Source organism: Homo sapiens, chromosome 2 (genome assembly GCF_000001405.40).
Source record: "Homo sapiens chromosome 2, GRCh38.p14 Primary Assembly".
In the NCBI taxonomy this organism is placed as follows: domain Eukaryota; kingdom Metazoa; phylum Chordata; class Mammalia; order Primates; family Hominidae; genus Homo; species Homo sapiens.
In genome coordinates this window covers 157,586,523-157,613,341 of record NC_000002.12, presented here as the reverse complement: position 1 = coordinate 157,613,341, position 26,819 = coordinate 157,586,523, and the positions used below count along the sequence as shown (strand labels likewise).

The 26,819-nt window shown below is 36.9% G+C and overlaps 1 protein-coding gene across 4 annotated transcripts in view; it reads left to right on the top strand.

Annotated features, from left to right (window-relative positions):
• The window catches only part of ACVR1C (activin A receptor type 1C), a 102,098-nt gene that overhangs the window by 15,523 nt on the left and 59,756 nt on the right, over positions 1 to 26,819 (top strand). For 3 of the 4 annotated variants that reach the window (NM_001111033.2, NM_001111032.2, NM_145259.3), the window contains exon 2: positions 25,925 to 26,155. In NM_001111033.2, coding sequence (NP_001104503.1) covers positions 25,925 to 26,155 — 231 coding nt within the window. Of the gene's footprint in view, positions 1 to 15,781; positions 15,983 to 25,924; positions 26,156 to 26,819 lie in introns of those variants that run through there. The other variant, NM_001111031.2, reaches the window with a different exon arrangement.

Below are 26,819 nucleotides of genomic sequence, written 5' to 3'. Positions count from 1 at the left end.
TAAAGTATAGAGGAGTTAAGATGGCTGACTAGGGACATTAGACACTCACCCTCCCCAGAAAGAAGAAGCAAAATTGCAAAGAGATAATCACACCTTGAATAGAACATCTAGGAGAGATCACTGGAGATCAACAGAAAAGTCACAGGAAACAACTGAGACACGGAAGAAAAAGGAAGTGAGCAGCCAGTGGCTGAGATTGGCTGGGATCCCAGAGGGGCTTCCTATTGCAGGGAATGGGTAAGTGAGAGACCCTTAGCAGTCCACATCCCCACTAGACTGTTGCCATGGGAGAGCTCCTCTACCTGTATGAACCCTTAGACTAACATGGACAATGATTTAGAGACTCTGCGGGAACATTACACTAGACAGGGAACTTGTACTGGGTCACACACATCCCTGAGACCTAAGCAGCTGCAAAATGGCATAATTGTGAGAGTTCTGCTGTCACTTGGATTCATCCTGCCCTGGTAACCATAGCCCCTATAGTTCTACATTCTGGAAGCCTCCACTGACATTCCCCAGTGTCTAGCTAAAGGGCTACAGGGGCACAGTGCTGGCTGGACCCAAAAGCGTTGTGTGCTCCTTAGTACTCTAGTCCACATGGAGTACTACTCTCTGGGGAAGGAACTGTGCAGCACACCAAGGAGGTGGCTCCTGGCACAAAGGAAACCAGAGTGTATACTTTCCATAGCCTGAGAGTTCCCTGTCTGGGGCTGTGAGAATTAACCCTGTCCCCAGCAGTGGCATGGACTCTGACGTTGGGCTTGCAAACAGAGAGTGGGACCCCTTCCCAACTCCACACACTGCTGCAGCAGTTGCTGCCACTGGGAGCTGAGGTGGGTGAGCCTGAGTGCTGATGGACTGGGAGTAGCAACCCTGTTCCCACTAGCAATGTGGCCCTTGTGCTCAGGCTAGCACATAGAAGAGTGGGGTCCTGTCCCTCACTCATACCACTGCAACACAGCTGCCCTTGCTGCTGCCAGAGGCTGGGGTGGGCTGCCTGTTTGGAGCTGGCTGTCTGGGGCTGTGAGTGGTGACTGAGCCCCCACTCTCAATGTAGCCTCTGTTTTGGGGCCCATGCAAGGAGGGCAGGGTCCCTCCCCACTAACCCCCCAAAACATTGCAGTCACTTCTGCAGCCAGGAGCTGAAGTAAGTGCTACCCAGAACCTAAGAGCTCCCTGTTTGGGATTGTGGTCACCAACTTTGCCCACACCAAGAGCACAGCCTCTGTACTCTGGTGTGTGGCCTGAATACAGGCTCCCCACACATTGTTGTGGCCACTGCTATTGACAAAGTGTGCACTTCTCAGACCCTGAGAGCTACCCACAGCAGACTGATAAAAGCAGCTCCATTTATCCCAATAGCATGAATGCTCTGCTCTAGAATGAGTCCTGGAGTCATGTTCTCCACACCCTTCACCACAGATTACCTCACCTTGTCTACTACAGCCTATGCCCCTGCATATCACCAGGGGACCAAGGTCAGACCTGCCCACCCTGGCACCACAACCACAGAGCCCAAGCATGCTGCCTGAGAATCTGGATCTCCCTGCCCATTTCACCACCTCTGGCATCTGTGCACTTCCCTCAGGAACTTTAAGAGCTGGCCCCCCCAGCTTGCTGTCAACACCACTGACAAAATATACCCACACATGCCACCTAGGAGCCTGGGGACTGGTCTACCCAGCCTATCACAGATACTGCCAACACCAGCACACACTGCTCAGGACCCAGAAAGTTGTCCTACAACTGCTGTTGCCATTGCCCACAACAAGCCTATTGCCCAGGGGCCCAAGAACCCACCCACCCTGCCAGCATCCCAAGCAGCCACCTGGAGGCCCAAGAATGGGCCCATCTGGACCCACTAACATCACAGTCAACATATGCCACCCTGGGCTCTAACGACAGGCATGCTCAGCCCACTGCTGCCACCACTCGTGCCTAAAGACCGACCCACCTGGAATTCCTGTCATCAGCACAACTTCACCACAGCCTCCACTCATAACCATACTCTAACTCACTGAGGAAATCACAGATACCACTGATGCTGTTTACTGCAAAAAAGTCATACAGAGACTACAGTACTGCGTGCACCCAAAGTCAAAGAGGAAGGGCCCTACCCAACCAATGTCATAGATACATCTTCAGGAAAAAGTCCTCTCCTACAAAAGGAAATTTGAAAAATTGGAAGAAGTAACTGTTATGCCAGAAGTGCAGATATCAATGTAAGAACACAAGAAACATTAAAAAGCAAGGACATATGACACCTTCAAGGGAACGTAATTCTCTAGCAACATATCCCAATCAAAAAGGAATTCTACAAATCCCAGATAAAGAATTCAAATTGTTGAGTTTAAAGAATCTCAGTGGGATACAACAGAACTTTGAAAAATAGTACAAAGAAATCAGTAAAACAATTCAGGACATGAATGAGAAATTTACCAAAGATATAATAAGAAATCCTGGAACTGAGGAATTTACTGAATGAAGTACAACATACATTTGAAAGCTTCAACAAAAGACTAGATCAAGCAGAAGAAATAATCTCAGAACTTGAAGACACGTCTTTCAAAAAAGTCTGGTCAGACAAAAACAAAGATAAAATAATAAAAAAGAATGAACAAACTCTTCATAATATATGGGACACAATAAAGGGACCAAATATACAAATTATTGGTATCCCAGAAGGCAAAGAGACACCAAAAGGGTTTAAAAACCTATCCAGTGAAATAATAGATGAAAACTTTTCCAAGTCTAGCAAGAGATTTAGACATTCAAATACAGGGCCCAGTGATCCCCAAACAGATACAATGCAAAAATGTCTTCTTCATGGTACATTATAATCAAGCTGTGTAAAATCAAAGATAAAAGAGAATTCTATAAACAGCAAAAGTATCTCGTCACCTATAAAGGAACTCCTATCTTTTTAAAGGCTGAATTTTCAACAGAAACCTTATAGGCCACAAGAGAATGGAATGATATATTTAAAATGCTGAAAGAAGAAAATTGATACACAAGAAAACTATATCCAGTGAGAATATCCTTCATCAATGAAGGAGAAATAAAGTCCTTCTTAGATAAGCAAATGCTGAGGGAATTTATCACCACTCTAAGAAATGCTCAAGGGAGTCCTAAACCTGGAAACAAAAAGACAACCATCATGAAAAAGATTACCATCATGAAAACACATGAAAGTATAAAACTCACTGACATGACAAACACACACATATTTGGAAGAGAAATAACTCAAATAGGACCACTACAGAACCACTAAACCACAAGGACAAATATTAAGAGAAAAAGAAAGGAACAAAGAATTTATAAAACAACTAGAAAACAATTAACAATATGACAGGAACAAAACCTCACATATCAATAATGACCTTGAATAGAAATGGATTAAATTCTCTACTTGAAAGATACAGACTGGCTGAATAGATACAAAAAATTATCCAACTATACACTGCCTACAAGAAATGCAGTTTACCAGTAAAGACCCATATACACTGAAAGTAAAGGGATGAAAAAAGATATTTCACACAAATAGAAACCAAAAGTGAACAGGAGCCGTTATACTTATATCAGATAATAGAGACTTGAAGTCAAGAACAGTAAAAAAGAAGACAAAGAATGTTATTATATAATTTTAAAGGGATAAATCCAGCAAGCAGATATAACAATTCTAAGTATGTATGTACCCAGATTCATGAAGCAGATATTACTAGTTCTAGAGAGAGAGCAAGACTGCAATACAATAATAGTGGGAGACTTCAACATCCCCCTTTCAGCATTAGACAGTTTATCTAGACAGAAAATGAACAAAGAAACATTGGATTTAAACTGCACCTTAGACCAAATGGACCTAACAAACATATACAGAACATTCTATCCAACAACTGCAGCATATTCATCCTTTGGATCAACACATGGCACATTCTTCAGGAGAGATCATGTGTTAGGTTGCAAAATAAGTCTCAACAAATTTTATAAAATTAAACTCATATCAAGTATCTTCTCAGACCACAATAGAATAAAACTAGAAATCAATACCAAGAGGAAATTTGGAAACTATACAAATACATGGGAATTAAACAACATGCCCCTAAACAACCATTGAGTCAAGGAAGAAATGAAGATGGAAATTTAAAAAAAAGTCTTGAAACCAGTGAAAATGAAAACAGCATATCAAAACCTGTGGGATATAGCAAAAGCAGTGCTAATAGAGAAGTTTATAGAGATAAATGCCCACACTAAAAAAAACACACCTGATTTAAAATAACCTAACAAGGCACCTCAATGAACCTCAAGAGCAAACCAAACCCCAAATTAGCAGAAGAAAAGAAATAATAAAGATCACAGCAGAACTAAATGAACTAAATAACAAAAAAAGGAAGAAATTCAAAGAATCAATGAGGTGAAGAATTGGTTCTTTGAAAAGATAAACAAAAGTCATAAACTGTTAACTAGACTAAGAAAAAAGAGAAGACACAAATAAACAAAATCAGAAGTGAACAAGGAGATACTATAATTGATACCACAAAAATACAAAAGACCATCAGAGACTGTTATGAACAACTATAAAGTAACAAACTGAAAAACATAGAGGAAATGGATAAATTCCTGGAAACATACAGCCTATCAAGATTGAATCAGAAAGATAACCTGAACAGACCAATAACAAGCAGTGAGATTGAGTTGTAATGAAAAGTCTCCTAACAAGTAAAAGCTCAGGACTAGACGTATTCACTGTGGAATTCTACCAAACATATAAAGAAGATCTAATACCAGTTATCCTAAAACTATTAGAAAAAATGGAAGAGCAGGAAATTCTCCTAAACTCATTTTTTAAGGCCAGCAATACCCTGATAGCCCTAGACAACGACACAACCAAAAAAGAAATCTACATGCCAATATCCCTGATGAACAAAGATGCAAAAATCCTCCACAAAATACTAACAAACTGAATCTAACAGCACATCAAAAAGATAACATATAATAATCAAGCGGGATTTATGTCAGGGATGCAAGTATGGTTCAACATATACAAATTGATAAATGTTATACTTCACATCAACAGAATGAAGAACAAAGATCATATGATTATTTCAACAGATGCAGAAAAAGTATTTGATAAAATTTAACAACTCATTTTGACGAAAAACTCTCAATAATCTAGGCATAGGAGGCATATACTTCAAAATAATAAAAGTAATATGTGACAAACCAACATCTAACATCATACTAAATGGGGAAAAATTGAAAGCCTTTCCTCTAAGAACTGGAATAAGACAAGAATGCTGACTCTCACCACTCCTTTTCAACACAGTACTGGAAGCCCCAGCCACAGAAGTCAGACCAGAGAAAGAAATAAAAGGCATTCAAATTGGAAATGAGAAATAAAAGGCATTCAAATTGGAAATGAGGAAATAAAATTATCCCTCTTTGCAGAGGACACGATCTTATATTTAGAAAAATCAAAAGCCTCCACCAAAAAAATTCCTAGAACTGTTCAATTCAGTAAAGGTGCAAACTACAAAACTGACATTCAGAAATATGTAGCATTTATATACTTCAATAATGAAATAGATAAGAAAAAATCAGGAAGGCAATCTCATTTAAAATAGCTACAAAAATACATAGGAATAAACTTAACCAAGAATGTGAAACATCTATACAAGAAAAACCAGAAAACACTGATGAAAGAAATTGAAAAGGACATGAACAAATGAAAAGACATTCCATGCTCATAGATCTGAAGAGTAGGTATTGTTAAAATGACCATACTACCTAAAGGTATCTATAGATTCAATGCAATTTCTATCAAAATACTAATGTCATTTTCACAGAAATATAAAAAAAATCCTAAAATTCATATGGAATCAAAAAAGAGCCCAGATAACCAAAACAATTCTAAGCAAAAAGAGCAAAGCTGGAGACATTATCCTAACTGACTTCAAAACATATTGGAAGGCTATAGTGACCAAATGTCATTTTTCACAGAAATATAAAAAAAGAATCCTAAAATTCATATGGAACCAAAAAAGAGCCCAGATAACCAAAACAATTCTAAGCAAAAAGAGCAAAGCTGGAGACATCATCCTAACTGACTTCAAAACATATTGGAAGGCTATAGTGACCAAGCAGCATGGTATTGGTATAAAAATAGACACATAGACCAATGAAACAGAATAGAGAACTCAGAAATAAATCTACGTATTTACAGCCAACTGATCTTCAAAAAAGCTGCCATGAATACACATTTGGGGAAAAGACACCCTTTTTAATGAATGATGCTGAGAAAAGTGGATAATTATATGCAGAAGAATGAAACTGGACCCCTAGTCCTCACTGTATACAAAAATCAACTCAAGATGGATTACAGATTTAAATGTAAAACCAGAAACTATAAAACTACTAGAAGAAAACACAGGGGAAACACTTCATGACATTGGTCTTGGCAAAGATTTTATGGCTAAGACTGTGAAAGAACAAGGAACAAAAACAAAGATAGAAAAATGGGACTATATTAAACTAAAAAAAGTTTCTGTATAGCAAAAGAAACAATCAACAGAGTGAAGAGACAACCTGTTGAATGAAAGAGAATATTAATACATTTCTTATTTGACAGGGGACTAATATCCAGAATATTAAATGAACCAAAACTCAACAGTAAAAACAAACAAACAAACAAACAATCCTATTAAAAATGGGGAAAGATTATGAATAGACATTTCTCAAAAGAAGACATACAAATGGCCAACAGGTGTATGAAAAAAATGCTGAACATCACTAATCATCAGGGAAATGCAAATCAAAACCACCATGAGATATCATCTCATCCCAGTTAGAAAGGCTATTAGTAAAAAGACAAAAACAACAGATGCTGGCAAAGTGTCCACAGAAAAGTGAACTCTTATACACTGTGGGTGGGAATGTAAACTAGTACAATCACTATGGAAAACAATATGGAGATTCCTTAAAAAACTAAAATTAGAACTACCATTCAATCCAGCAATCCCACTACTGGGTATTTATCCAAAGGAAATAAATCAGTATATCAAAGGGATACCTGCACTCACATGTTTATCACAGCACTACTCAAAATCTGCATTGTGGATTCAGCCTAAGTGTCCATCAGTGGATGAATGGATAAAGAAAATGTGATATATATATACATGATGGAATATTGTTCAGCCATAAAACAGAATGTAACCATGTTATTTGCAGCAACATGATGGAACTGGAGGTCATTTTGTCAAGTGCAATAAGCCAAGTACAGAAAGACAGATACCATATGTTCTCATTCATATGTGGGAGTTAAAAAACTTGCTCTCATGAACATAGAGAATAGAATGATAGATACCAAAAGCTGGGAAGGAGGGAAAGAGGGAGGGGGTGCTGAAGAGGGGTTTGTTAATGGGTGCAAACATATAATTATTTAGAAGAAATAAGTTCTAATGTTTGATAGCAGATTAGGGGCACTGTACTTTCCAACAATATATTGTATATTTCAAAGTAACTAGAAGAGGGGACTTGAAATGTTACCAACACATAGAAATGATAAATCTCAAGGTGATAGATACCCTGACTTGACTATTATACATTCTATGCGTGTAACAAACCCTGATATGTACCTCATAAATAAGACCTTATGTGTCAATAAATATTTAAGTAAAAGTAAAATGAAGTATAGGGGAGGATGTCCATAGGTTATAAGCAAATATTATGCCATTTTATATAGGAGACTTGCACATCCATGGATTTCGATATCCTCAGGAGTCATGGAACAAATTCCCTACAGATATTGAGGACGTATTGTACTATATTCACAGAATCAATTGCTCAGTGTTGTCAGTTTATTAATTTTCTCCAAATTGGTCTATAGATTGCAAAGTTTCAGTCAAAATCTCAGCAGGAATTTACGTAGAATTCACCAAGGTGATTCTAAAATTTATAGGGAAAGGCAAAGGAATGAGAATACCCAAGTCAATTTTGAAAAACAAGAACAAAGTTGGAATGCTCGTAGTACCTATTTCAAGATTCATTATAAATCTACAATAATTAAGACAGTGTGGTATTGACAAAAGGAGAGGCACATTGATCAACAGAATAGAATAACCAGAAATAGACCCATATATATATATATGTCAATTGATTTTTTTGACAAAATTATAAAGGCAATTTAATGGAGAAAGAATAGCCTTTTCAACAAATTACATGGGTACATTCATAAGCAAAAATAAATAAATAAGAACATCAAAATCTCTTGCATGTTTACAAGTATTAACTAAAATGGACCTAAGAATAAAATCTAAAACTATAAAAACTTCTAAAAGAAAACAGAGAAGAAAACATTTTGATCTTAGGTTAGGCAACATTTCTTAGATGAGGGTACTAAAAGCATGATCTGTAAAAGAAAAATATTGAATAAATTAGACTTCATCAAAATTACAAACTTCTGTTCCTTGAAAGATGCTGTTAAGAGAATGAGAAGACAAGATGCAGGCCAGGAAATAATGTTTGCAAAACACATATCTTATAAAGCACTTGTATCCAAAAAATATAATGAATACTCAGAACTCAATATTAAGGAAACAACTCAGTAAGAAGTGGACAAAATATGTAAGTAACTGGAACTCTCATACATTACTGGTGGAAATGTAAAATGATACAAGCCCTTTGGAAAACACTTTGGCAATTCTATGTAAAGTTAAATGTACACCTTCTATACAAAATAGTAATCCCACTCCTAGATATTTAGCAAAGAGAAATAAAACTTACTTTACCTAAAAACAGTATATTAATGTTTATTACAGATTTATTTCTAATCCAGAAAAATGGGAAAAAACCAAATGTCCTTTAACTGATGAATGGATAAACAAATGGTTGTATATGCATTCAAAAAAGCTCCTGATGTGTGCAACATGGTGAATAAATCTCAAATACCTTAAACCAAATGCAAAAGCCAGACTCAAAAGACTGCATTCGTTTGACATTCTGAAGAAGGCAAAAGTATAGGAAAAGAAAATATCACTGCTTGCCAGCAGTTGGGACAGAGAGAGAAAATGTCTAAAAAGTAGTATAAGTTTGGCAGGAGGGATTATGGAATTGTAGTTGTCAAAACTCATACAACTACACTAAAATAGTTACTGTAATAATTTCTATATGTAAATTACATCTCAATAAACCTGGCTCTCCTCCCCAAATTGGAGATCCTATAGATAAACTAAGAAGTCATACAGATCAGGAAATCAGCAGATTATGTTTCAAATTGGTTAATCAGGTATATTTTTAGAATTAATGTCCTAACATAATGTCCCAAAGAATAACAACAATAGTTAAACGTGGGTACCTCTGGGAAGTGAGAGTGGGGAGATGTGGGTCACCAGATGGATGCTTTTCTTTTAAATTCTTCCTGTACTATTTTTTTGCCATATGCAGTTATAACATTAATTCAATAGACATATTTTAAAATTACAAATAATTAAAATTTACCCATGTTTTATAACTTCTTTGAAAGTAAGGAATTTCTGTACATATTAAAATGTGTTTTGTCTGTGTAATCTTCATTCTGCAAAATGGTATTAAGTAGATAGAAATGAAATCAAATTAGGATAAATTAGGTTATGTTTAATTTGTTAACATGGAATAGTGATTTCTTCTCTTAGCAAAGGAAATTGCAGTCAGGGACATTATCTGTACACAGATAAAGCTCATTGTAAATGCAGCATTTGCTCACCTGTTCTTTTAGGTGAAAGCACTTGGTTGGACTTGAAAGGTCATTTATCACCTACAGGAGAACACTTATGGGCTACTTGGGCTCCTTTTCTTGCTTTACTATAGAATTAAGCTTGCTTATGGAGAATTTTGCTTGCATCTGCAGTCTCTACAGAGGATCATTAATGTGTTAACAAACCTATTTTGCTGAGTCAGATTAGAGGTACCCCTTGTTGAGTACAGTGCCATGCACATAGTGGGCAGTCAGCATTTTCTTGATTATCTTCTCCAGTCAGGGATAGTCACTGTGTCTGTTGTAACCCTGTCTCAACAATTAAAAGGTAAGAGGAAAAGTTATGGAAAGATCATCAAGCTAGGCTAGTCTTATTTATGTCCCAGAGATCAGGTAAGTTTCCATGTAGCGTAGGAGTCATTTTATGATGATGATGTATCTGAATTTTCAGGGACAGCCCTGCTTTCAAGTATGCTAGCCTATTTCAGACCACAAATTCCAATTTTTGGACTTGAAAACAGATTTGCTGTAGCTATGGTGTAGTATGGCAGTCAAACCTGTGGGTGTTTACCCAGACCCCACCATCAGGATTATTTTAGAGGCCTTTGCTGAAAAGCTGACTGAAGATGTCTTTGTGATATGTTTAGCTACTCCCTGTGAACTAAATACTTTGACGGAACAAGAAATGACTTTAACAAATTAATATTCATCCCTGATTACAGCATATTAATATATTCTTTATAGGAAATTAGGGAAAAGTGTTGAAAAATGTAAAAATCATCTTTATTCCCATACCTCAGAGATAACAACTATTAATATTTGAATGTGTTTCATTCTATTTATTTCAATGCATATATAAAAATTGAGCTCATATCCTGTATGTTTAATTATTTTACTTTTCATATTTATAGTGAACAAGTTCCAACCTAAATAAATATTACTAAAAAGGAGGATATTACTTGATTTGGGGGTGTTTAGTCTATTTCTGTTTTTTACTTTTGTGAATAATAACTCTAATGGAAGTTTTAAAGAAACTTTTGTGTTTATTTCATGTAGAAGTAGAAATACAACCACAAATGTCATAAATATTTTTAGGACTTGAGATAAACGTTTCAGATTGTACATCTAAAAGTTTGTACCAACTTATACTCTGCCAACTGTGTATGAAGATGAAATTTCATTGACCAACCCCCTAACCATTTCTGCATGTTATAACTTACAGAATCATTTCCAATTTGGCAAATGAAAGTTATGTCTTTGCATTAATTTTCTGTTTTGATTATTAGTGAGACTTAAATTTTTCATGTTTATTGATAGCTTTTCTTTCTCTGTTCATCTACTTTGTTCATTTTTCTGTTGAAATTATTGGGCCCAAGAAATAATTGATTGAAAGGGAAAAATTAGTGTGGTAACCAATATGTGAGTTAATGTTCCAGTTACATCTACCCCTTCGTTATGTACAGATGTCAATTTTTTTTTTATTTTAACGAAAATGTCTATCTTGATTTGGAGCTGCTGATTTTATCACCTTAGTGTGGCAGTGTCACTACCAAGGGAAACGTTAATCAGAACCAGAAAGTTGTGAGAAACACTGAAAGTTATTTTTAAGGAGTGTGGTTTGTGCCTTAAATGTTGAGCTCTGAATAGCCCATAACTTGTAATAGCAGGAGCTTAATTTTCGGGTGTTCTTTTTTTTCTTTTTCTTTTAACATCTGTGGTGTGTTAAATGTGTTATCTAGAATATCTCTTTTTAAAATTTTCATACTAATCCTGTGAGATAGGAATTATTATCCCTACTTCATCAGTGCATGGACAGATTTAGAGAGGTGTGGTAACCTCTCAGGCTGCACAGCAGGGTTAGAGGTGGCTCAGGATTAGAACTACAGATACGCATCTTCCAAAGTGCAGGATCTTTTTTACTGCACCTTGCTGAATTCCAACAATGTTAAACTCAGACGCAGCTACAAACAAGGTTTTCGTTTGTTTCTTTGCTATAGTTTTTTGTTTTGTTTTGTTTTATATCACTATCAAAGAAGCAGCAAGACTCAGATGACCTACCTTAGACTTTCCTTTCGTTCTGGCTAATATGAATTCTTTGAGACTTTTTGGAGGTCCTATAACTTCTTTCTTATGTTTCCTCACTTTTATACTTTTATGTCTTGAAATATATTTGGGCAGCTGCAAAAAAGAAACAGGCAGTTATTTTACTTAACAGTATCTTGATAGATAAAAGGAACCAGGAGAAGCCAGGTAACCTACCTTCTTTTTTATTTTTTTTATTTTTATTTTTATTTTTTGAGACTGTCTTTTTTTATCACCCAGGCTGGAGAGCAGTGGTGCAATCTCAGCTCACTGCAACCTCCGCCTCCCGGGTTCAAGTGATTCTCATGCCTCAGCCTCCTGAGTAGCTGTGATTACAGGAGCCTGCCACCAAGCCTGGCTAATTTTGTATTTTTAGTAGAGATGGGGTTTTAACATGTTGGCTAGGCTGGTCTCGAACTCCTGACCTCAAGTGATCCACCTGCCTCAGCCTCCCAAAGTGCTGGAATTACATGTGCAAGCTACCGCAGCCGGCCGGTAACCTACCTTCTGAAATACTTATGACAATTCCTAGAAGTCTAAGAACTATATTTTTAAAAAGCATTATGGATTTTAAAAATGTGCTCCCCATTCATCAGCTCCCTTTCCCACCCATATTCTTTGAAGGGAGGGGTAGGTGATGCGCCCTTTTTATGTTTGCACAATATATGAATTCCTCATAGTATCCAGGGTAAACTTTTGAGCCTCATGGTCAGTGTTGGAAAGATGCTCAGCTAGGATCGGCCTTAATAAAACAAAAAGATCCTTCCAAATCACTTGTCCTTCTCTTCCCTTTTCAACTCTGAACTTGCCACTCTATTTTTAGCTAGATCAGCTTCTTATTTAGGATAGTTTCCTTTTATTTCTACATTGAGAATTATCTATTCTTTATCATATCTGATCATATGTAAATATGTAACTGTGGATTGTGGTAAAAATTTCTGACAAGTGAGCCCCTGAGAACCCTTGAGGACTTTACCTTTTCAATTTTCTTTGCTACTTTCATTCTAAACTTGAGACAGATAGTTCTGTCTTTTTCTATCTCTTCAATCTTGTAACTGTGTAATATGACTATTAATTGTTTATTACTTACTGGTTACTTTTAATTGTTTCCTTTTAACAAGTCAGAGCTTTCTTAGCTTTTAGTTTGGAACTTAATGTTTTTTGTCGTTAATTTTTTGTATTTCATGGCATATTTCCCAAATAGATTGAGTATGCCATGTCCTCCTTTCATCACTGAACTCTGCTCTTTTCTCATTTGGTTGCTATCTTCTCTACTTTAATAGAGACTGAAAACACAAAACTAGATTTCAGTGACTTAACAGACCTCCAAAATATGAACTCTGATTATTCATGTCAGTCTTTATAAGAATACATGATTCTCCTGAACAGTTTTCTTCCTCAACTGTGATTCTAGGGCAACAACTTGGTTTTCTGGGTATGCTGTCACTCCTATTGCTCTTTCTGATACTGGATGGTGGCCATTGATGCCTTCTGCTTTTGGGGTTATAGAACGTTACAACTGAAAGGCACATTAGAGATCATCTAATTGAATTCTTTCTTAAACAGATCAGTTGAACACATGAGGCCCAGAGGCCATATTACTAGAACTAGGATTAGAACCCCAAGTCTCCTAACTTGTTCCCTAAATGCCCTGGACTGGATTAGGGATCCTGTGGTGTTTTTTCTTTACACAGGTTCACCTCTCCATGCTACAGAGTAGTAATCCCTGCTTATCACTGCAAGATATTGCTGGAAATAGTATCCTTCAGGAGTTGATTATAATTGGTAATCATTTCCTATGGAAACAATATTTAAAGTGTATGGTGTATTCTTGATCCAGAGTTAATCATCAAGGAAATCATAGATTTGACAAACAATATATTGAACCCAAGACTGTACTAATTCAAAAAACGCATACTATCTTCCAAGTCCTATAAAATAGACCAAAGTGTGCAGGCTGATCAAATACAGTGTTAAGATTTGTGCTCCAGTACTGATGGAGGCATTGCCAAGTGAATTTCTGGCAGGTGAACATCTTATCTAGAGTGAGCTTGTTGAGCCGGGAAAGCTCAACAGCCCTGTTCCGTGGGCAGAGATGTCCCTTGTTAGCTAGACACCTGGTCTGCCATTATTAGCTTTCTCTGTAGCTTGGAGTGGGTGGCTATTATTATTCAGCCTTTTTTTTTTTTTTTTTTTTTTTTTTTTTTTTTTTTTTGAGCCCAGGCTGTAGTGCAGTGGCGCCATCTTGGCCCACTGCGAGCTCCCCCTCTCGGGTTCACGCCATTCTCCTGCCTCAGCCTCCAGAGTACCTGGGACTGTAGGCGCCCGCCACCACGCCTGGCTAATTTTTGGTATTTTTAGTGGAGACGGGGTTTCACTGTGTTAGCCAGGATGGTCTTAATCTCCTGACTTCGTGATCCGCCTGCCTCGTCCTCCCAAAGTGCTGGTATTACAGGCCTGAGCCACCGCGACCGGCCTATTCAGCTTTTTTCAGTTTCCAGAATATTCCATATTGAGTAAAAATAGCACTACAGAAAATTGCCCCTTCCACTTGAGACAACATTTCCATGTGGAGTATGGCCGTTCATTGTTAACACAATAGGTTGGAATAATAACAGCTTGGACACTCAGCTCCACTTTCTGATGCAGTCAACCCCCAGATTAATAATTTGTATTAGAAAAAGACTGTTAAAGCTGGGCAGGTGACTCACGCCTGTAGCCCCAGCACTTTGGGAGGCCGAGATGGGTGGATCATTTGAGGTCAGGAGTTCAAGACCAGCCTGGCCAACATGGTGGAAACCCTGCCTCTACTAAAAATACAAAATTAGCCTGGTGGGTGGTGAGCGCCTGTAATCCCAGCTACTCGGAAGGCTGAGGCAGGAGAATCACTTGAAACCAGGAGGTGGGGATTGCAGTGAGCCGAGGTTGTGCCACTACACTCCAGCCTGGGTGACAGAGTGAGACTCCATCTCAAAAAAAAAAAAAAACTATTAAAAGAAAATAAATGTAACATTATAAAATACAATTATGTTTATCCACATTTGAAATTTTTAAAAGATAGCCTTGATTTTGGTAAAGTCAGACCTTAATTCTGGGATTTATGTCTTTACTTTCTTGATTGGTAGTATAATGCTCTTTTTTCTTTTTTTAATGTGAGCTATTTTATTTTTATTCTTTTAATAAATATTTTAATTAACAAATCATAATTGTATATATTTATGAGGTATAATGTGTTGTTTTGATATGTATACAGTATGAAATGATTAAATCATGTGAATTGACTTCTTTTTTGAAATCATAGTAATAGAGGATGCTTTTTTTTTTTTTTTCAATGTTCTTCCTTGACAACACAAAAATTTGGTGTAACCCTTGGTTGGGTCCCCAAATTATTTTTGAAATTTTACTGGTCAGTGAAATTTCCAAATCTGGTAACCACCATTATCAGGTATGATTTTATGTGAGCATAAATATAACAGCTATAAGACCAATAGGACCTATGTGAATATGCAAATTATAATACACATTAGGGGCTTAATTATCAGTTTCTCATTTCTTCTTACAATTTAGAAAGACTTCACTGGCAATATTTGGATAGGTGGAATCTTTTGGTTCAAATAAGAGATTTCTCTCAATAAATACCGGTCTAGCAAATCCTCCCGGGCTAGAATGGTGATCTTTAAGGGCGTTCACGAGTGGAGGGCCACTATTTCCAAATGAAAAAGCGTCATCAAATCATCACTGCATTGATTTGCTTCTAGACAAGGCATTTTATTTTAAAATTTCAAATAACAGAAAATCGAGAGTGCGACATTTTATGATTATTTTAAAGACACACAGGTTTTAAAAATGCTTGAGAAATGCTAATCCGGAGTGGAGGTCATTCTGTAAAAAATAGCCTGCCTCCTGCTTCTGCTGCCACTAGATGGTACCCGGGTGCGCCGGGAAGCCGTCGGAGAACGTCTCCTGGGGGTTGCGCTGCCGTCGGGCAGGTGGCCGAGCCCCGCGGGAGCTGTCGTCGGGGCCGAATTCACTGCGCCAAGGTCCAGCGGAAAGCTGGGGCATCCCGGCGACCGCAGGGTGTCCCTTCGCAAATTCATCAGGCGAAGGGGAGGCGGAAGCTCCTGGCCGCTGCTCTGGGGGAGGGCTCCGAGCTCCAACCTGCAAGTCCAGGCAAGGGGAGCTCCCCGGGGGCGGGCCGGGGTGCCAAGGTCCTTTTTGGGGTGGGGAGCGCGCTGGGGACCGGGAATGGAGTTCCATCAGGGCAGTGAGTGTTACCAAACCCGTTGACAAAGTGGGGGCAGGTTAATGCACATGCAGGGCCGCGTCGCAGCAGGAGGTATTTCCACACTGCCTGGTGAGGGAGGACTGCCGCGGTTTCCTCAGGCTGGTGGGTGCTGTCTGGACCGTCTTGGAGGACTACTGAGAGGATGGGCTGGGACTCGTCCTCCGAACGGCAGGAAGGCTGAACAGGTGTGCTTCTCAAGATTCACCTCCAAGAAACCTTCCCGCCCCTGCCCCGTCCCTTACCCGCAGCCCCAGCCGGATTCAGTAGTGCTCCACCTCTGTGTCCCAACGCAGCTCACAGCTCCTACATGTGTCCCTGACTCAGTTTACCACACTGTCCTAACATCCTTTAACCTACAAGGCCAAGTTCCTTTAGTGCATGTCTTTTCTCTCTCCTCTCTCCCTCCCTCCCTGCCTTGACTCTTTGCCAAAGAGTTTGGCATGTAGTAAAGTACTCTTTAAATAATGATCTTAAAAACTTATCTAAAGACTTGCCATAAAGTAATTCATTTACTACTGTCAAGGAGATTTGTATATTAGCTATGAATTGGATGATCCATATCAAAATTGCATATATATTTAAGTGTCTAAAAAACAAATCATAAATTGGAAGAAAATATTGACTATTTAGAAAATATCTGGATGGGAGATTTTCTAAGCTTTAAAGCAAAATAAATTGCAGAGTAAAATATTGATAGACACAGTTTATGTCTATCATGTTATTGGATTTTAATGAGAACATCACTATGCATATCTAGTGTAAAACTCCACGGAGTAATATTTGGAGAAGTTGTATACATTAGTGGTTCGGGGGTTATGGGATTAGGAGTGATGTATTTTATTTTACTTCCTTCTTTATGTGTATTACTTGACTTCTTTTTGTCAAGGGGCAAGTATCGTTCTGCCCCCCACCCCCCAAATAATGAAGGTAATGTGTTAGGAAAAAAGCAAATAAATATGAAAGTGGGAAAAGCTATATGTAACACATATGACAAAGGATTTCTATATCTATTTCTATTCTATTCTGTTCTATTCTATATCTTTATAAAAACCTCTTTCAAATTGAGAAGAAACTTTAAAATTCATCCAAGAGATAAATAGCATGGACAAAAATTTCTTCTGTACTTTGCAGTTTTCTACAATTTGTAATTCAGTACATCTTTATTGGATTTTACCGCACTGACAGACCCTATTCTAAACGTTGGGATGTGATGGTAGATAAAACAGGAGAAGGGCCCTGCCCTCATGAAGTTTTCATTCTAGTGGGTCTAATACAATTAAAAAGCGAATTACAGATTGTGATACATAGCAGGAAGGATGGGGAGCAGATCCTTGAGCAAGGGGAGTCACTGAAGATTTCTCTGAGGGGGTGACATTTGAGCTGAGACCTGGAGAATGAGAAGAAAGGGGAGAATACTACAGGCAAAGGGAACAAGAAGAGCAAAGGCCATGAGGTGGGAAACTTGTTATATCACAGCTGTGAAAAGGAGACCAGTGCTCCGGAAGGCTGAGTTATGAGAGATGAGGTTGGAGGAGTGGGAAGAACCCAGACTATTAGCCTATCAGGTCATGATAATGATTGTGGATTTTGCTTTATTCTAAATGTAATTGGAATCCATTAAACACCAATATTCTCCTAAGCAGGAGACAATAGATTAAGAAACCCCAATTACTGGGGAACAGTTTGATGTGGAACCATTTAGGCTGCCAGGGTAAGAAAATAACCTTTCAAATTAAGGATTATATGTGATTAGCAGAGGAAATGTGTCCTGTGATTGGGAATACTCTTTTCTTTGACACTTCAAATAGGGTCTGTTTTTTCCCCCTACATGGCTGCAAAGTCTAAACTGGGCCAGAGGACTCCAGGTAGTCTGTATCCTCCCTAAGGAAACAAAGATTCAGCCTTGGAGACACTGCTATGTACCCAAGAGCGGTTATCACCAACTGCTACCCCTGCTAGCCTGTTGCCCACTCATGCCTTGCCTTCCAAAGGCAGGAAGGAGAAGACTGCCATCTTCCTATCTAAGAATCCTGCATTTTCATCCTTTCAAAGGGATGTTTTAAGAGAATCCACACAAATAATTTTGTCGTGAACCATTTTGATTATGTTGTATCCCTTTATGGTTGATTAATAATTGTCCCACACTGGAGGAGCTTAGCAGCTAAGGTTATTCATGGTATTTCTGGAAAAAGCTTTCTTTGAAAGGTGAAAATTTCAGTTAATCACCACGCTGATAAGCAGAAATGCTAAACTGAGAAATTTTCCTGTTAAGTTTTTAAATTGCACTAAAAGCTTTATGACATTGTGCCATCATACGTGTCCTTTCCATATGTATTCAAAATTTTGAGGCAGTAAGTAAATAAATAACACTCTTCTAGCCAGTTTTAAGCTCTAATTGCTGTCAGCCATTGAAATATTATTGGGAAACATTTTAATATCTACTTAGTAGAATGTAGACTATTCAGATTGCTGAAGTGTGGTGCTATTTTGAGTCGCTTTTGGTCTTGCATACTATTTCTGTAATCCTGTGGACACTAAGATTGAGGGACTCATCAACAGTCTCTGGATGTCTCACATAACTCAGAGAGGCTATGAACATTTTCAGGCCTCTATCACTTTTCCCCCATCGCCCCCAAATTTCATGCTGATATTGGAAAGAACATTCAATTATCATGTAATACATATAGTACAGGATAAACAATTTTTAATATTAATTAGAGATGTTTTGTTGATTTATAAACCAGTAGAATTCTCTCACCCACTGAAATAGCAGGGTGTGAATTTGGGGGCACAGACCTATCCTGTTCACATACCCAACACCAATTCTCTCTTTTCATCTATCATAGGTAATCCTTAAGTCACTTATATTGAGAATTGTGACACAAGTTCAGAGTAGCAGAGGACTATAGACCTGGAGGGGTCTTTAGAAGTCTTCTAGCCTGCTTCTTGACCTCCTCATTTTACAGGTGAGGAAGATAAGATCTGGAGAGATTGGGGAACATGTCTAAAGTCTCAGGTGGCTGGTGGTCAGGTGAACTAAAACCTCCAGTGTCAGTCAGTGTTGCCTTTGGACTGAGAAAATTCCAAATGGTTAGTACTAATAATTTACAATATGCTGAATTCTAACTAAATTGAGCCCTACAGCTGGAAGTTTAAGCAGTTCTCCTGGACAGAATCTCTGTTGGTAGGGTGGTTTCATTCCTTCTCAGCTCTAAGGGTGAGGCCTTCTTTAACAGGGAACGTAATTGCTACTTTGTGCAAAGGAACAGTTTTTCTTTGTGATGGATGTTTTCCCTTATTTGTGGAGTTCTGAATTTTTTTGGTTGCAGCCTGAGAAGTAGTATTTCTACCAGCTGAATCTTTATTGAAAGCTCATTTGGCCAAAAAAGTTTGCATTTATATTGCCCATATTTTATTAATGCTACTTTCTTTCTTTCTTTTTTCTGTTTTTCCTTACTGTTAAGAAAGGCAAATGCTTTGAAATGACCACATGACAAGAAAATAAAATTTTGACAAGGAATAGAAAAGGAAGCTAGATCTTTGCCCGATTTCCTTTGACCCTGTCTGGCTTTCCTTCAGATTTGCTAGTGCTAGTTTTCCTGGCTTCTTTCCTGCTGCTGTACTTTTCATATTCAGCACACTGAAAAGCTTGAATTGTTCCCTTTGTTAACTCAGAAGCCTGCAAATGATGAAAAGATTACATATTCAGCAGGTCAAATCTGAGACAGTTTTCTGAATTAAAAAAATATTTTGTGTTTCATAGCCTGGTCTAAAACTAGAGAAATTGAATAAACTAATGTCTGGAAAAGAAGAAAGAGTTTATGTCAGATGTTTATGTTAAGCACTGGTTAATTTTAGCATATAGACTCCAAACAAAGGAAACGTAGTAATATGTAACCAACATATTGAGAATACTGTCTAATTCAAAACACCTAATATTTGCCAAATAAATATTTGGCTTTCTAATAAGAATAGCACATAAATGCGGATCAACAAATTTGGTTCTTTTTTGTAGTCAGATGGTTTTTATATTTCTGGACACCAGGGTGTGCTAGCCATCACATGTAAATATGGATGAATATTTATTTTCTGGTTGGTTAGGAATGTGCACATCCTTTAGTTGATGTGGGTAACAGATGTCTTGTGGGTAACAGATGTCTTGCCTTTTAGAGACGAATTGGCAAAGAGTGGATAAAAGGGGATAATTAAAGGGGTAGGAGGAGACAAAAGCAAAGTACAATCTTCCTTGTGGTGAAAAATCTAATAAACCTCCTTATTATGGGTAATTGTTTTCCTTCTTCAACCTCATTTGCTGTCCCTTTCCATAGGACTCAAATACATTGTAATGGGAAAGTATAAAATAAACATGAGACAAGACTACTGCCTACTAACAACCAGATTTGTTCTGTCACAGAATATTGTAGTATAATTGACTCAATGAACATCAGTTTTTTTTGAAAGAGACAAAATATGAAATCATGTCTAATCACTAATGGCAACTTATATTGTAATTGGCAGCACAAAGGTTCTATGTTGAGGATGATTAATATAAATATAGTTGAATTATATGTCAAATGCAGTGATATAGTGGACTGGTGGGAAATGAAATATGAGAGGCTGAGTATGTCGTATGTTACTTATTCATCTTAGGTCCTATTTAGTTTGCTGTTTGTTCGCTGTCAGTCCTATCATACTGCCAGTTGAACTGGAATAAATGGGAACATGTAGCAGATGTTTGAAGCCATTATCATTAACAAATCCTCAATTTTGCCAGTGTTTTTCATCGTGCAAGATTTAAAGTAAGGTGTCACTTTCTGTCTTAACTATATCACCTATGTCTATATTATTCTTAAGATTTGTAACTTTTACTTTTAACCAGGATAAATTTTTATAGCTTGTGAAACATTCAGTGAGTATCCGCATAAATCCTTGGTAAGAACTATTATGTAATCATTTTTATAAGGAGCCAGTAGTGCTTCAAAGAGAAAGTATCAGATTATGTACTCAGAGCCTTACTTAATACAGAATTTAGATAAAGCTGTAAGGTGAGATTGTTTATTTTAGATGCAAGGCACATGATATTGAATTTTATTTGACTGCATGTCCCCTCAGAAAATAGGTAGGTAGAATTTGTTTCAAAAATACCAACTGTGTTTTAAAGGCTATTAGAATAATACAGATCAGAATCCTAGTTTTCAATTGTTAATTAGTTATCAGCTTCTTTCTGCTGTATTAGAATTCTATTTTATTCACAATTGCTAGAAATTTGTGGGGTGGGAGAATTGTTCACCTACCCATTTCTTTATGGCACCTTAGTCATGAAAGGTACCATTGCTTGAGTAGTCCAGAGACTGTTACGTAAGTCAGTCACTTTGTCTTTTTGAGCCTCATTTTGTTATGTATGAAATGGAGATAGTGACAACTAACTCCCACAGTTGCAGTGGGATTATATGAGATGACGAATGCATGTGAAACTAACATATATTTAATTGTTGAGTGCTTTATGATTGTCTTCACTCTGTGGATTCATATTCCTTAGTTAGTTGTGTCAGTTGCTAAGCTTTTCTTGGAAATAGAGCGTCCAAGGAGATTCTGATGAAATGTCTAGTGACAAATGGTTTGAGATTGTGTGTCAGAAGAGTTACTCTTTTTCCTGCCTTTAGCCCCTTAAAATATGCAAGTGAAGAATAACCATAGTGCAGCAAGTTTCTTAACATTAAATGAGTTTTCCTATTTTGTAATTGTAGATTTCCATAAGGTGTAAATAAGTAGGGTCATAAAATATTGGTGTTATGTAAGAGTTTAAGATTTTTGGACCCACTTTCCCTATGCTGTTCATTTTCTATTTTCAGAGGACAACACTGAGGCTCTGTAAGGTTAAATGTCTTCTCCAAAGTCAATCAGCAAGTTAGTGACAGAGTGAGGGCTGAGACCTTTGTCTTTTCCCAAATTCTTTGGCTGGACCATCACCAGATACTACCTGCTGTGTGACCGTCTAGAATCTAGTCTGGGTCATTAAAAAAAGGAGAGCAGTCAAATCACTCTTGACAGAGCGGAAAGAGATGCATTTCTTTATTATGCCTTTTAAATGGTCTCTGCACCCTAGTTCATTTGGCTATTCCTTTATGGATTACAAATATATTTTGATTGTTTCGCTTGTTTGCATAAGACAACTGACTTTACCCGCTTCGGTAGTAGGAGAGATAGTCCCTAAGTCTTTATATAGTATTTCCTATGTGCCAGACATTGGTCTAAGGGCTTTATATAGGTTAACTAATTTATTCTCCACAACACTATGAGGAGATATATTATTATTAGTCCTGCCTTTCATATAAGAAAATGGAGGTACAGGAGACAAAGTAATGCCTAAGATTACAAAGCTAGTATAATCAGATTTGTAAGATTGGAACTGGAGAATACTAGAAAGATTTCATTGTCAGTAGAAACCTAGATGAATGCTTGCCCATGATATGACTTCTCTTTTTGCAAGGAAAGTGCCTTGAAACATGTTCTAAAGCACTAGATTTTATCTATATGGCTCTATAGAATCCCAATCAAGTTAGAATATATGGTTCTTCTGTATCACATAAATATTGATGAAAAAGTATATTTATTAATGTTGGTCACCACTAGAATAAATAGGAAAGTGAGCTGTTATGCTTGGTTCAATGTTGATAACAAAACAGTATTTTATTTTAGGATTGTATTTCCCTTAGGATACCAGTAATAAAAATGTTTCTAGAAATGATGCTTCATCAGTTAAGAAAAATTATTGATAGAAGAGAATAATTTCTATATGATTGATATAGAATTTGTTCTTTCTTAAATATTCAGTTATATAGGAATAGTACCCATTTTTGCTCCCATATCGGTATTTGAAGTTAAGTAAAAGTTGTCATTTGTGTATCAAATATTTTATAAGTACTACAAAAGCAACTCCAATTTGAGTGATTAGCAATTTAAAGACTTTAGTTTTACTAACAAAGATTATATGGTAAAAAGTTGAACATTTAGATAGTTATGGGAGGGCAGTTGTGATTTAACGAAAAGTTCATTACATTAATAATACATTTATTTATTTTTGTTTTTGTTGCATTTGCTTTTGGGGTCTTAGTCATAAATTTTTTACCTAGAGAATGTTGAGAATAGTTTGTAGGTTTTCTTCTAGAATTTTTCTGGTTTTAGGGCTTTGAGTTAAGTCTTTAATTCCTCTTGAGTTGATTTTTGTATAATGTGAGAGGGGGATCCAGTTTCATTTTTCTATGTGTAGCTATCCACTTTTCCAAGAACCATTTATTGAATAGAGTATCCTTTCCCCAGTGTCAGTTTTTGTGTGCTTTGTCGGAGATCAGTTGGTTGTAAGTATGTAGCTTTATTTCTGGATTCTCTAATCTGTTTCATTGGTCTATGTGTCTACTTTTATACCAGTACCATGCCGTTTTGGTTACTGTAGCCCTATATTTATAGTATAATTTGAAGTTGGGTAATGTGATGCCTCCAGATTTGTGCTTTTTGCTTAGGATTACTTTGGCTATTCAGATTCTTTTTTGATTCCATAAAAATTTTAGGATATTTTTTCTAATTCTGTGAAAAATGTTGTATTTTGATAGGAATTGCACTGAATCTGTAGATTGCTTTGAGCAGCATGGTCATTTTCACAATATTGATTCTTCCAATCTATGAGCATGGGATGTTTTTCCATTTGTTTGTGTCATCTATATCTCTGCACAACCAAAGAAATAATTAACAGAATAAACAGATAACCTACAGAATGGGAGAAAATATTTGCAAAGTATACATCCAAAAAAGGATATATCCAGAATCTACAAGGAACTCAAGAGAATCAGCAAGAGAAAAGCAAATAATCCCATTAAAAAGTGGGCAAATGACACGAACAAACACTTCTCAAAAGAAGACATACAAATGGCTAACAAATATGTGAAAAAATGTTCAACATCACTAATCAGCAGGGAAATGCAAATTAAAATCACAGTGTGATACCAGCTTACCCCAGCCAGAATAGTCACCATTAAAAAGTCAAAAAACAATAGATGTTTGGTGTGGATATGGTGAAAAGCAAATGCTTATACCCTGCTGATGGGAACTTAAATTATTACAGTGTCTATGGAAAACAGTATGGAGAGTTCTCAAAGAACTAAATATGGAACTACCATTTGATCCAGCAATCCCACAATTGGGTGTCAAAAAGATACCTGCAGGTGTATGTTTATTTCAGCACAGTTCACAATTGCAAAGATATGGCATCAATTTAAGTGCCCATCAACCGATAAATGAATACAAAAAATGAATACAAAATGTGGTGTGTGTGTATGAGCATGTACATATATATATATACACACACACGTATATATATATATATATATATATATATATATGGTGTGTTTGTGTATGTATTTGTGTATATATGTGTGGCATATATATCATAGAATACAACTCAGCCATAAAAAAGAATGAAATAGTCTCTTGCAGCGACTTCTGATGGAACTGGAGGCCATTATCCTAAGTGAAGTAACTCGAAAACAGAAAATAAAATACTGCATGTCTTCACTAATAAAAGGGAGCTAAGCTATGAGTATGCAAAGGCATACAGAGAGACGTAAAGGATATTGGAGACTCAGGAGGTGGGGGAGGGTGGGAGGGAGGTTAGGAATGAAAAATTATCTATTGAGTACAATGTACACCATTTGGGTGATGGGTACACTGAAAGCTGAGACTTCACCATTATACAGTTCACCCATGTAACCCAAAACAACTTGTACTCCTAAAGCTATTGAAATTTAAAGAATTTTAAAACAATAATACAAAGCTTATTTAGTATTATACTATTTAGAAACAATATATTTAAATGAAATTTGAATAAATAACTCAACCACTAGGCGCTTCATGCTGACGAATGTTTTACATCAAAACATAAATAGGCACCACTTTGGACATGTGAGTTAGTGGTGAATGTGTTTGTGTGTGTGTGTGTGTGTGTGTGTGTGTGTAGTAAGTGGAGAATGTTGGGGAGGTGTAGACAGTGAACAGATTAGTTTAACAAAGTGTAATTTTTCACAGTTGTATTGGTATAGATATTCTAAATTCTATTATTGATTTGCCTTACTTTATGGACTAGATGTGTGCATTAAAGAAAATTACCTGAAGGTCATGGTGTCTGTTCAAATGATTCATTCTAGTATACGTTCTTTAGTGAGGAGGGGAAATATAGTGGCTCACCAATGCCTCAAAGGAACTACGACAATAACAATTGTGTTAAAGTGTCACAGAAAATAAATATAAAGTGTCACAACTATTTTTTTAGAGACATAAATATCTATGGTTAGCTTTGCGTTTAGCACATTTGCTTAAAAGTTTAAAGGAAGGAGGGCAAATGAACAGAACACACTGAATTGTTTGGTTACACAGCTGCCATAACCCCACTTTAATGTTCTATGAGTATTGCTGGACAGCTCCCCTTGGTTGCTGTGATACTGTTTCCTAGCATTTCCTAGGAGCTATTGATTTAGGAATGAGCTGGTTGAACTTAATATGGGGGTATTTAGAGCATGGATGAGGCAAATGCTTTAAATATAGTAGCAACTGGAATAAATCACAAAAATATTAGCAAAAGTAAATGATAATTGGACAGGATGTTTAGTGAAATATATGATGGAGAGGGAGTAATTGCTTAGCATGTGTTTAGCAAGTGTTTTTATTTAAACCCTTTTTCCATTTTCATTAAGATTGAATTTATATTCCCAGGTATTATCAAATAAAGTAGCATGATGTCTTTTGTATTTTAAATCTTTTTGCCTTACTCTTTCCAGGACTGAAGTGTGTATGTCTTTTGTGTGATTCTTCAAACTTCACCTGCCAAACAGAAGGAGCATGTTGGGCATCAGTCATGCTAACCAATGGAAAAGAGCAGGTGATCAAATCCTGTGTCTCCCTTCCAGAACTGAATGCTCAAGTCTTCTGTCATAGTTCCAACAATGTTACCAAAACCGAATGCTGCTTCACAGATTTTTGCAACAACATAACACTGCACCTTCCAACAGGTAAGGGGTTTATCTTTGTTCATTCCGAATTTAATTTTACTCTTGGGAAACTATAAGAATGGTAGGAATCAAACTGTCTTATGTTTCTTTAAATAGGAAAATCTGTTTTACAGTTCTCTTTTTGATTTTGGCTGGTAAAATTCTCTAGAGTCTAGCTGAGGTTGAGTTTTTAAAAAATTGCACATCATTGTCAAAACATTGACAATAACGTAACAATTTTGAAGAAATTTGTCCACGTGAATTGTATTTTTGAAATGATTAATGAACCTAAAGTCAAATGTAAATTTTTATGGAGTTTTTAAAAAGAAATTGAGATTGCTTCTTGGCCTTTCGGCTAAGATCATGTGTAAAAGACATTGAAATACATACTGAGAAGAAAAAGAGCATAACTAAAAATAGCAGATTGCCAACTTTTCTGGGGACAGAATCTTTTTTTCAGGGATATCCTCTGCATATCTTCTTTATCTACCCACATTCAAGTGAGAGCACACCCCAGAGAGATAGAGGCAGAATGGAATTCGACCCTTCATCATTGTTCAGATATATTTCTGCCTTTCGTCATATTATACAGTGCTTTATCCCAATTTATAAGAAGCTAAAAATCCTGATCTGGCCCTTTATCAGGAACCTGGGATCTGAAACTTTGGGACACATTAAGGGACAT